We start from the raw sequence: 13,741 nt of genomic DNA on the forward strand, positions 1-13,741 counted from the left end.
CTCACTGAGAATCTTCCTGACAGGGGAGAATTTCTCTTTTGACCAGGTAGCAAAGATACAATTTTACATGTCTGATATTCAGAAGAATTTTCCATACACCAGCTTCTGGCTCCTACATAGCAAGGCCTGCCTCTCTTCCCCTACCCATGCACTTCCAGCAAGTGCTGGGCATATAGAGTGTTCTCTTATTATAAGACAACTTCTGGTCCTAAACTTTAGTTCATGACACCAGTTGAGTCAGCCCAGAGAGTAGCAGGAGTACTCTTGGAAACTTGGTACATCAGGATTACTAGCAGTGACTTAATTTTACAGGGAATTAACTGTGCGTCACATAAATGTGATCCTCTAAATTTAAACCAAAAATATCCTCAACTTAACCTCCTCAATGCCCATGGTTACTCCAAAACCACCCAACAGGAGTGGAAGAGGGATGGAGGGGAAGAGGGATGGAGGGGAAGCTAGAGTGGAAAGAGACATCGGTTGCAAATTTTAATTAAAATATCTTATTTTACAAATTATACTATATACATATAGTATATAAAAATATATAATTTGTATATATACACTATATATAAATATATATAATTTGTGTATATATACACTATATATACAAATACATATAATTTATATATATACACTATATATACAAAAATATATGATTTGTATATATAGACAATATATGTACAAAATAATTAGTATATATAAAATATATATATATTTCTGTGTGTGTGTGTGTGTATATATATATATATATATATATATATATAAAAAATATATTATTGCTACATCAGCACTGTGCTCACTCAGCTGGCATCACAAAATAAATTTAGGACCAGAAGTTGTCTTGAGATAAGACAATACCTCATATGCCTAGCACCTGCTGGAAGTACATGGGTAGTGGAAGAAAGGCATGGTTTGCTATGCAGAAGCCAGAAACTGGTCTATGGAAGATTCTTCTGAATATCAGATATGTAAAATCTTCTCTCTGTGCTATAATATTATATATATGTATATATAAAAGTTATTTTATATATACACATTATACTATAAAGTATATATAATTTGTGTATATATACGCTATATATAATTTGTAGTATAAACATCATATATATCAATATATAGTATATCTCACTATACATCTATATATTTTATATAGTATAATTTACAAAGTAAGATATTTTATTATATAGTATAAAAATATTATAGTATAAGATTAAGGATGCTTTATAGTATTTATATGTGTGTGTGTGTGTGTGTGTGTGCCTGTGTGCGTGTGCAATACCAGGTGATCACAGCCAGGGCATTGAAAAAGACTTACTTTATAAGTGAAGGACTCTGAAGCTTCATTAGTTTTCAGGTAAATCAGCCTCTACCTAGTGCAAAAATACTTCTGTTTTTCTCCAAAGGGAGAAGACGAAAAGCTTTTCAAAACTGTATGGCACCTCTGTATCATGTGTTAACTTGCATCTTAGGCTCCATTTGTTCTTCGTATACATTTAGGGCTCACCTCCCAACTGAGCAGTGAAGTTTCATGAAGTCAGAGACTGCTATTTCTCACTTTGTATCCCTTGCAACTAGATCAGTTTGGGCAATGAGTAAGCACTTAATAAATATTTTACTTATTAGCAAAATGATTAGGATTTTATATTAAAATTTGATAAAATTGTAAAGAGCATTTTTGATCATAAAACTTTAAAAAGCACTTTTGATAGTAAAACCACTTATTAACAAAATGATTTTCAACAAAATGAAGGGAGAACACTTTTTAAACAATTATAGTGGCAGCCTTCTCATCAAAGCACCTGTGGCTGCACAGATGTTCACAGTTTTTATGGCTACAAACAACTTACCTCCAAAATTTATCAGCTGAAACCCACAATGATCGTTTATTTTTGCTCATGGTTTCTATGGGCTGAAAATTTGGTGCAGCACACTGGGTGGCTCCGGCTTTAAGTCTCTTGAAACTGCAGTCAGATGGCGGCTGGGATGAGGTGATCTCAAAGGTCTCTTCTCTTCACTCAGCTGTCTGATCCCTGGGCTGGAAGACTCCAACGGCTGGGGCTGAAACAACTGCAGCTCCTCAGGAATCTTTCTCTGTCTCTTTGTAGTCTCTCCACATAATCTCTTTAGCAGGCAGCTTCTGGGGAGCTGGACTTCTTATATGTTAGCACAGGCTCTCAAGGCGCATTTACTAAGAGAGAGAGCTAGTAAGAAGCAATTTTGCCCTTTATGACACAATCTTGGAAAATATGTAGCCTCTCTTCTACTGCATGCATGCTATTGGTTGGGAACATCTAACTCACTTCCTATGCAGTGTCAATGACATATTGTAACATCATCTGGGACAAGATACACCCTGGTGTGGCCATCTTGAGAAAATACAATCTGCACAATAGGGGACAGAGGTTTCTAAATTTGTAAGCATTTTTTTGAAATAATAAAAGTTTGTATACACTCTTGCTAATAATTACCATTCTTTATGTATCTGATCTTCAGGTGGCCCTGCTTATGAAATAGCGTGCTGCACATGCACACTTGTGGTAGCCTTACATTCAAGGTGCGCACTAGTGGATGAGGCTACTTTGAAAATATCTGATCCATTCAGTCTGTTGTGGTTTTAGAAGTGTCTTCTATTGTCTGGGCAGGAAGGTATAAAAAAGAATAAAAAAGAAATGTCTTCTAGAGTTCCTCTCTAACAAGCCCATCTCCTTGTTTCCACCACTATCCAATATGGTGGACAAAATTTAATAACTAATATTAGTACAGCCCTATATCTGATTGTACATTATGGGGACATAACAGGAACCTCTTTTGGCCCTATTCAAATTCCTAAGCCTCTGGCCACTTGGCCCTCACTTGGCCACTGCCATAGCACAGACGCACTGTGCAAAGCTGGGAAGTTATGCCTCCTTGAGCTGAATAGCTTCATTCCTGTAGTATCCAACTCCTTTCACCACTCCTACTTCCAGATTTCAATGAACTGCCATGCAATAGGATATGGGATCTGACTTTCTGAGCAGCTGTCAAAGTAAATTTCCCTGTGGCACAAATTGTGATCAATTGCAGACAGGATACAGAAGGAAGCCAGCAGATAAGTGCCCTCTGCTTGCTCCCAATGACAGTTAGTCTGGAGGAAATGTATTGTCTGGAGACATCCTGCAAGACCAAGCTGGTATACCTACCAAGTGACCCACTATTTCTCTGTGTGCCTCAGCATGCCACAGTGGCCAGCATGGTACTACATCCCATTACATAATTTTTCTTTCTTACCTGTTACACTTCCTTTGTCACTTTTAATGCTGTGAGATGACCACTCCCCAAAAAAGCACCAGCAATTAATTCTTTACTCAGACTCTCTGTTTTAGAGAACCTAGGTCAAGCCTGAAACGATTGATATTAGTATCATTGTCTTCATTTTAAACTTGAGGAACCTAAGATTCAGGGAAGTTAAATGACTTCTACAAAGTCTCATAGCTGAATGAAAAAACACTGAATTTGAAATAAGATATTGTTTCAGCTACAAAGCCCACTCTGTTTTTCCTTCTATACCTTATTGCTTTCTCAAGGACTATAGGACCTAAGGAAGCTAGAAAACAGTGTTGTTGCCCTGAGGGCAATAGTGGATTAAATAAACACTGAGAGGTAAATGTAATATAACATAATATAATATAGTTATTAATTAAATTAAACAATAATAGTGTTTAATATTAAATAATAATACCTAACATTTGTTGAGCCCTTACTCTGCGCTAGGCTCCATTCACAGTAACATATATGAGTTAATTTAATTTATTTACAAATCTTTATAATTGAACTAGTTTATCATCATTACTTTATAGATAGGAAAACTGTTGCACAGAACGGTTTTTTGCACAGGTGCCAGGTGGTAAAGTCTTTGTATTTCTCAGTATCCTTTCCTTTGAAATGTAGACATACTTCTTCTCATGCCTATCTCACCACATTCTTGTAAAAATTAACATAAAAATGCTTAGAAAAAATGCAAATATAAAGCATCTTTAAATTAGATCTGTCATTTTGATAAACAGAGTGGGAGACAAATCAATGCACAGGCAGCAATCAGAAAGCAAATCCTAAAGCGTGAGCCTCAGCCAACAACAGGCTGTACCAGTTAGAGCTACATTCCCAAATAAGCATTGGCCAGGCATGCAGATTCACACTGTGGAAAAGTTCACTGCTCTCCCTCCTGCCTCCAGATCTCACCCACAAACATGAACAGAACTCATGAGCCTTTTGCTCCTCCTCTGAATTCAGCATATGCATTTCCTGCCAATTTCTTCTTATTCAAAGATTACATTGTATCAATAAAATTCATTTAGAAGGAATCACAAGTCATCCTCAATCCTACAGCCTAGAAGATTGGCTAATTTCATGGGTCTGATTTCCCTTTCAGTCCCCATCATTATGTGTGAACATTTTTTACATGGCTGTAACTACAGTGTTGGGGTGGAGGGGAAATTCCGTTTTATTTTACTTAATATTATAGGATAAATTTTTAACATATTTCTAAAGAATCACTGCTGTCCAGATTGAGCAGCTACCTAGAAGAAGATTTCATCATTAAATGTAGTTAATTTTCACTATAAACTTGATAACAGACAAGATCAAGGCAACGGGTAATCCTTCACTGCTACCCTTTCTAAATCCCTTAATCTGGCCCCACTATTATTGTATTTTCCCAGCCCGAGTTTATCACTGGCTAATCAACCTCACCCTAATTTCTATCAGGTCAGAGACATCTCTTTCTTATTCAACTCTGCTTCAATAAATCACCTACGAGTATTTGGCATGCAAAATATTCCTCCCCTGTGTCTCAGAAACCACACAAAATTCCCATTATACTACGTTTTACATGGAATTTCCCAATCAGCTTCATCTCCCAAGAGCACATAGAACAATGATCAATACAAATTAAAAATAAACAATGCAGGCTGATTATACTTGAAAAGATATTAACTTTAAAATTACTGTTAATTGTATCCCCAAACTCATGATCTGGCTTTGGTGAGAGTTGCTATAGTTAATTTCTAAAAATTGAAAAATGTAACATTCAAATAACATAAATTGTTAAGCTTTCTTAGGGCAGAGACTATTTCTTTGCTCTAAAGTCTACCTTAACTGAAGCTCCTATAACCACTGTGCTTTATTTTTAAGTAATGTTTCCATAGTATAATTATTTTTTCATTCTCTCACTTGAATAACTTATTTTATTGTATCTGAAGTAAGTTTATTGTAGACAGCATATGATTGGATCATGTTTCTAAATCCACTCTGGGTTTTAGGGGCTTTTTTCCAAGATAGTGGATTGGAGGTATTGTTAGCATGCATCTCCCACTTTGAAACACAAATACTGTGTAGATATTCACACTGTGAATTTTTTCCAAGAAGCAATGCACCAACTTAACAGGAAAACTTAAAGAAACTACAGACCCTTTGAAAGCAGCAGCAGGCTGCAGCCTGCATTATGAGCCAGGTAGAAAACTGTAAGACCCCAGAGTGTGAGAAAGGGATAAACTGCCTCTGGGATATACACTCCCACTGGGGAACCTGGCAATCCAGGCCACAGGGGAAAGCATTAACCCTACCCAGCACTGGAGCTGATTTAGGCAGCAATGGGAAGTACATGAGAAGGAGTAGTATCGAAACATGCTTTGCCTAGGCTTCTAGTCTCCAGTGGGATGGAGGGAAGCCATTCCTGATCCTACCTCACAGGGGACCCCCGGAAGTCAATCTGCTAAGTCAGGTGGCCGTGGCAGTTGGTGAGAAGCTCCCAACTGAGATTTGCAATACAATCTCAAGTGGAGATGAAATCCCTTGGCCAGAAGCAAAGGGCAAGTGGAAAGTGTGCTGCAACCACGAGTGCAAGAACTGGTCACCCCTACTTCGTGGGCAGACCAGGAAGGGTGTGGCCTGAAAGCTGAGGTTGCTGTCTACCCAAGGAATGCTCATGGCCTTGGGCAGTTTTGAGTTTTAAACCCAGATTGCCTGGAACTTAGCTAGCTGCTGCCAGTGGAACACTACGAGTGTGAGACCTGCCTTGCCAAGTGCATGGGAGCTGAGTGGGGCTTACTGTCACCTGCTACTCCATACTCCCCATGTAGACTCCTCTGTACAGCAGAGGCAGGTGCACTCCTCCCTGAAACATTACCCCAGCAACCAGAGAACTGCCTTCCATTCTCCACTGGGACCATTTCTTGCTCTACACATGGAGAGCCAGAGCAAGGACTTGCCTGACCCAGACCTCACGTGGCTTTGCCCCTCCACCCACCCTAGCAGATTAACACAAAGGACAGAAACTTTTGGAAGCTTTATGTCCCAGCCCAATGCCTGAGACAACAGAATACCTCTCCAGGTAACATAAGGTAGGCACAGATTCCATCACCATCACCACAGCTGGTGATCTTTTCTAAGCACCACTGACATAATCCATTACAGCTTTGTCAAAACACAGCATTCAGGAAGGAAAAATCTTGTGTGTGACCTCAACTGTCACCATTGCCTACATTACTCTGGCTAACCAGGAGGTCCTGAGTCTGTCCACGTGACCACATCATTACTACTATAACTGACATTTTAGAAAGCCAAAATATTAAGGCCATTTATAAACAAGGAATCTCACAGAGTCTACATCACTCCCCTGCCACCCCATCAGAGCTGGTGCTGGTACCCGCTGCTGGGAGACCTGAGCACAGGTCACATCACTATCACTAGATCCTATGCAGACATTCCCCAGTACCAGCCTGGAGTATGGCAGCCGCATTGGGCAGCTAGACCCAGAGGAGCAGAAGTATTCACAGTAGTCTTTCTCTCAGGGACTCCTACTCCTAGGGAAAGGGGAGTATACCACATCAATGAAGCACTCCATGGTACAAAAGAATCCAGAAGGCAGGTCTTGAGTCCCAGAACTTTGTGCTTGTGGGCATTTCTTTCAGCAGAGGCACAGGTGAAATGCTGGGATCAACAGGGAATTTCTGTGTCTCTACCCTAATAATCAGGAAGTCTTGGTGTTTGTGAAGGGTCTTGGAGAGGTGACTTTTTTTTCCCTTCATCCACCACTGTAGACACAGCTGGAGCTTTGCTCATGGGAGCTCATGATAGGTGCACCTGTAATTAGCCTTTCTAGAGTACTTCAAGATGACTGCATCCCCACAAGAAGAGCAACCCCTAGGTTCAGGCTTGCATGAGGGGTAGAGTGACAATGCCTCTTTACATGGAACATTGGTATTCTTGCAGATAAAAGAGAGGCCTGTCTAATCTGAATAGATGGAATAATGGATCAAGAGTGTGACTGGAAGGTGGATCACCTTTCTGCTGGCCAGACAGGGGAGCTGAGGTGGCTCTCTCCCTCCCCACTGAAAAGACCTCAGTGTGTTTCACTGAGAGATTCTCTAGCCATCTCTGTCAAGACTGGGATCTCTGCCCACCATTAGGGTTGTATTTACCCACCTGCTATAGCCACAACTAGTTTTTACCCATGGATACCTTCCCTATTGGCCTGAAGCCTGAATAGTTCAACCCAGTAAATAAACTACTCAAAAAATATAAATTTTTTGTAATGTACAGCACTGGGGAACAAGACAAGCTTCAAGATACTTCTGCCATTCCAACCCCACAGGAGACAGTGAACCTGCTCAAAAACCAAGCACATTGCTACTACAACCATCAGCTGAGAAAGCCATCATACAAAGACTCTGTATAACCAGGGAACTCATATACAGCCTTCACCCTGAAAGCACCAAAAGCCAAATGAGGGTATAATAAATTATAAACACTGTATTAGTCTGTTTTCATGCTGATGATAAAGACATACCCGAGACTGGGCAATTTACAAAAGAAAGAGGTTTAATGGATTTACAGTTCCACGTGGCTTGAGAGGCCTCACAATCATAGCTGAAGGCAAGGAGGAGCGAATCATATCTTACATGAACTGCGGCAGGCAAAGAGAGAGCTTGAGCAGGGAAACTCCCATTTTTAAAACTATTAGATCTCTTGAGATTTATTCACTATCATGGGAACAGCATGGTAGAGACCCATCCCCATGATTCATTTACCTCTACCAGGATCCTCCCTTAACATCTGAGAATTGTGGGAGTTATAATTCAAGACGAGATTTAGGTGGGGAAACAGCCAAACCACATCAAACACTAAAGTCACATCCTCAAGGAGGAAAAGCGTTTTTTTAAGTCAAATCGAAAATAAAGTCAAAAATAATTAGAATAAATAGTCTACCCAAATGAGAAGAAACCAGAAAAATAATTCTGACAATATGACAAAATGGGGTTCTATAACACCCCCAAAAGATCAAACTAGTTTTCCAGCAATGGATCCAAACAAAGATGAAATCTCTGAAATACCAGAGAAAGAATTCAAAAGGTTGATTATTAAGCTACTCAAGGAGACACAAAAGAATGGTGAAAAACAACATAAATTTTAAATGTAATTCAGGAATGAATGAAAAATTTTCTGAAGAATTAGGTATTTTAAAGAAAAACTAATCAGAACTCATGGAAATGAAAGACACATTTAGAGAATTACAAAATGGAGTAGAAAGTTTTAACAGTAGACTAGACCAAGTAGAAGAAATAATTTAAGAGCTCAAAGCCAAGGCTTTCAAACTGACCCAATTAGACAAAAATAAGGAAAAAATAATTGAAGAAATAAAGTCTCCAAAAAATAGCCCCTTAAATGGAATAACTGTCAGCCAATAATGTTATATCCAGCAAAAACAAGTTTCATAAATGAAGGGGAAATAAAATCTTTTTAAGACAAGCAAATGCTGAGGGAATTTGTCACTACCAGACCAACACTACAAGAAATGTTAAAAGAAGTCATAAATCTTGAAACCCCAGGTCAATATGCAACAGAATAAAGCCTCTTGAAAGCATAAAACCTATAAGGTTTATAAAACAATAACAATGAAGAAAACAAAGCATCTAGCTAGCAATCAACATGATGACTGGAACAGTACCTTTTACCTTACTGTTCATATTGCATGTAAATCGTCTAAATTCTCCACTTTAAATATGCAGATTGACAGAATGGATTTAAAAAATCACAATCCAAATATTGCTATCTTCAAGTGATTCACCTAACATGTAAGGATTCTTATAGACTCAAGATAAAGGAGTAGAAAACGATATTCCATGCAAATGAAAACCAAAAGTGAGCAGGAGTATTTAAGATGAAACAAACTTTAAAGTAACAACAGTAAAAAAAAAAAAGAAGGTTATTATTCAATGATGAAAGGATCAATCCAACAAGGAGATATTAAAATCCTAAATATATATATACATAACTCTGGAGCTCCCAGATTAATAAAACAATTACTACTAGACCTTAGAAAAGAGATAGACAGCAACAGAACAACAGTGGGGGATTTTAATACTCCACTGACATCAATAGAAAGATCACTGGGGCAGAAAGTCAACAAAGAAACACCAGACCTAAACTACACTCTAAAAACAAATGGACCTAACAGATATTTACAGAATATTCTACCCAAGAAATTCAGAATATACATTCTCCTAATCAGCACATGGAACCCTCTTCAAGATAGTCCACACGACAGGCCATAAAACCAGTCTCAATAATTGTTTAAATATCAAAATTATATCAAGCATCTTCTCAGGCTACAGTGGATTAAAACTAGAAATCAATTCCAAAAGGAAACCTCAAAACTACACAAATATGGGGAAATTAAACAATCTGCTCCTGAATGATTTCTAGATTAACAATAAAATTAGGATGCAAATTTAATTTTTTTCCAAATGAATGATAATAGTGACACAAGTTATCAAAATATCTGGGATATAGTAAAAGAAGTACTAAGATGAACATTTATAGTGTTCAATGCCTACATCAAAAATTCTGAAAGATAAAAAATCGACAATCTAACATCACACATCAAGGAAATAAAGAAACAAGGACAAACCAAACACAAACCTAGCAGAAGAAAATAAATAACAAAGATCAGAGTGAGCTAAATGAAATTGAAACCAAAAAAAAATTACAAAGATCAACAAAACAAAAAGTGGTTATTTGAAAAGATAGAGAAAATCAATAAAACATCAGCTAGATTAACCAAGAAGAGAGAAGATGCAAATAAGTTCAATTAAAAATAAAAGTGGAGACATTTCTACCACCACCACAGAAATACAAAAGGTCATTTGAGACAAATATGAACACCTCTCTGCACACAAACTAGAGAATCTAGAGAAAATGGATGAATTGCTGGAAAGATACAACCCTTCTGGATTGAATTAAAAAAAATAGAAATCTTGAACAGGCCAATAAAAAGCAGTGAAACTGAATCAATAATAAAAAATTAGCAACAACACCACCAACAACAAAAACAAAAACAGAAACAGAGGGAGTTACAGCCAAATTATACCAGAAATTCAAAGAATTCAAACCAATCCTACTGAAACTGTTCCAAAAGATGGAGAAAGAAGGAATCCTCCCAAACTTGTTCTATGAAGCCAGTATCATCCTGATACCAAAACCTGGAAAGGGCATAACAAAACAAACTGCAGACCAATATGCTTGATGAACATACTCAACAAAATACTAGTAAACCAAATCAAACAGCAAATCAAAAATATAATGCCCCATGATCAAGTGGTTTCATCCAGGGATGCAGGGATGCTTTAACATACACAAGTCGATAAATGTGATACATCCCATAAACAGAATTAAGAACTAAAACCATATCATCTCAATAGGTGCAGAAAAAAGCATTTGATAAAAATCCAGCATTGCTTTATGATAAAAACCCTGAACAAACTAGGCCTAGAGGGAACATACCTCAAAATAACAGAAGCTGTATATGACAAATCTACAGCCAACATTATACTGAATGAAGAAATGTTGAAAGCATCCCCCCTAAGAACTGGAACAAGACAAGGATGCCCACTTTTACCACTTCTATTCAGTATAATACTGGAAGTCCTAACTAGAGCAATCAGGCAAGAGAAAGAAAGGGCACCCAAAACGGAAAACAGGAAGTCAAACTATCTCTGTTTGATGACAATCATATACCTAGAAAACTCTAAAGACGCCTCCAAAAGATTCCAAGATTTGATGAATAAATTCAGTAAAGATGCAGGTTACAAAATCATTGTACACAAATCAGTAACAATTCTAAACACCAACAGTGAACAGGATGAGAATCAAATCAATAACTCAGTCCCTTTTATGATAGCCTCAAAAATAAAATGTGTAGGATTATACTTAATCAAAGAGATAAAAGATCTCTACAAGGAGAACTACAAAACACTGCTGAAGGAAATCATAGATGACACAAACAATCAGAAATACATCCATGCTTATGAATTGGAAGAATCAATATCATGAAAATGATCATATCACCCAAAGCAATCTAAAGATTCAATTTGATTTCTATCAAAATGCCAACATCATTTTTCACAGAATTAGAAAAAAGAATCCTAAAATTCATATGGAACTAAAAAAGCCCAAATAGCCAAAGCAATCCTAAGGAAAAAAAAATCTGGAGGCATAACTACTGGAGTTCAAATTATACTACAAGGCTACAGTTACCAAAACAGCATGATGCTGGTATAAAAGGAGATACATAGGCCAATGTAACAGAATAGAGAACCCAGAAGTAATGCCAAATACATATAACAAACTGATCTTCAACAAAGCACACAAAAACAAATTGTGGAAAGGACATCCTATTTAATAAAAGGTGCTGGGAAAAATGGATGGCCACATGCAGAATAATGAAACTGGATCCTTATCTTTCACTGTATACAAAAATCAACTCAATATGGATCAAAGACATAAGTCTTAGACCTAAAGCCATAAAAATCCTAGAAGAAAATGTAGGAAAAACTTTTCTGGACATTGGCCTAAGCAAATAATTTATGACTAAGGCTCCAGAAATAAATGCAACAACACCATAAATAAATAAATTGGACTTCATTAAACTAAAAAGCTTCTGCACAGAAAGAAATAATCATCCAAGTAAACAGACAACCCACAGAATAAAAATAAATTTTTACAAACTATGCATCTGAAAAGATTAATATTCAGAATCTACAAGGAAATCAAACAAATTAGCAAGAACAAAACAAATAATCCCATCAAAAATAGGCAAAGGACATCAACAGACAAGTAGACGTTCCACAAAAGAAGAAATACAGGTGTTCAACAAACATGAAGAAATGCTCAACATCACTAATCATCAGGGAAAATGCAAATTAAAACCACAATGACATACCATCTTACCCCAGCCAGATGGCCATTATTAAAAAGTCAGAAATCAATACATGTTGGTATAGATGTGATGAAAAGGGAACACTTACATATTGCTGGTGAGAATATTTTCCATACAAGTACAACTTGTATATATTGTATATATGCAGATTTCTTAAAGAACTGAAAGTAATCTACCATTCGATCTAGTAATCCCACTACTGAGTATCTTCTCAAAGGAAAAGAAGTCATTATATCAAAAAGACATGTACATATATATGTTTTTCGCAGTGCAATTCACAATTGCAAATATATGGAACCAACCTAAGTGCCCATCAATCAATAAATGGATAAAGAAAACTATATATATGCACATATATATACACTATATATATACACATACACACACACACACACACACACACACACACACACAGCATGGAATACTACTTAGCCATAAAAAAGAACAAAGTAATGTATTTGCAGCAACTTGGATGGAGCTGGAGGCCATTATTCTAAATGAAGTAACTCAGGAATTAAAAACTAAATACCTTATGTTCTCACTTATACTCATAGCTGAACTATGGTTATGCAAACTAATATAGTAGTATAACAGACTTTGGAGACTCAGAATGGGGAAGAGTGGGAGGGGGTTGAGGGATTAAAAAAATACAAATTGGGTACAATGTGCACTATTCAAGTTACTGTGCACTAAAATCTCAGACTTTACAACTATATAATTCTTCCATGTAACCAAAAACCACTTGTATCCTAAAAGCTATTGAAATAAATGAATAAATATTACACACATACACACACACACACACACACTGCAATTTTTTTGTCTTCTAATTGGTGTGTTTAGACCACCTAGTGTCATTATTGATAATGGTAAGGTTTAAGTCAGCCATTGTATTATTTGTTTTCTTTGTTTCCTACGTTCCTCATTCCTCTGTTTTCCTTTTCTATGACTTATTTAGGATTTCCTATTTAGGAAACTTATTTAGGATTTCTTCATGATTTGTTTGTAGTATTTTTTAGTATTTCACTTTACAATGGTCTTGGTGTTTTTTCTAAATAAAACAATATGCGTATATAACTTAAGGTCTACTGGTAACTATATTTTATTCCTTCAAATGAAGTCTAGAAATTTATTTTCATATACATCTCTTTACCCTTCCTACTTTTTATGTATATATATTTTAAGTATTTCCTGTACATACATTGAGTACCATAACAGAGATGTTTATAATTTTCATTTCAATCACCAAATATTAAGAAATTCCCATGAGAGGTTGGATACTCTATTATATTTTTGCATATTTTTACCCATTCCACTGTCTTTCTTTTCTGAAGTTTCAAGTCCTCTTCTGCTTATTTCCTTTCTGTTTAAAGAACTTCCTTTAACCATACTTCAAAGAGATATTTTCCAGCAACAAATTCTTTTTGCTTTCCTTCGTCTTAAAATATCTTTTTCTTTTCTCTTCATTCTTGAAAGATTTTTTTC

The sequence above is a fragment of the Homo sapiens genome, chromosome 11 (genome assembly GCF_000001405.40).
Source record: "Homo sapiens chromosome 11, GRCh38.p14 Primary Assembly".
In the NCBI taxonomy this organism is placed as follows: domain Eukaryota; kingdom Metazoa; phylum Chordata; class Mammalia; order Primates; family Hominidae; genus Homo; species Homo sapiens.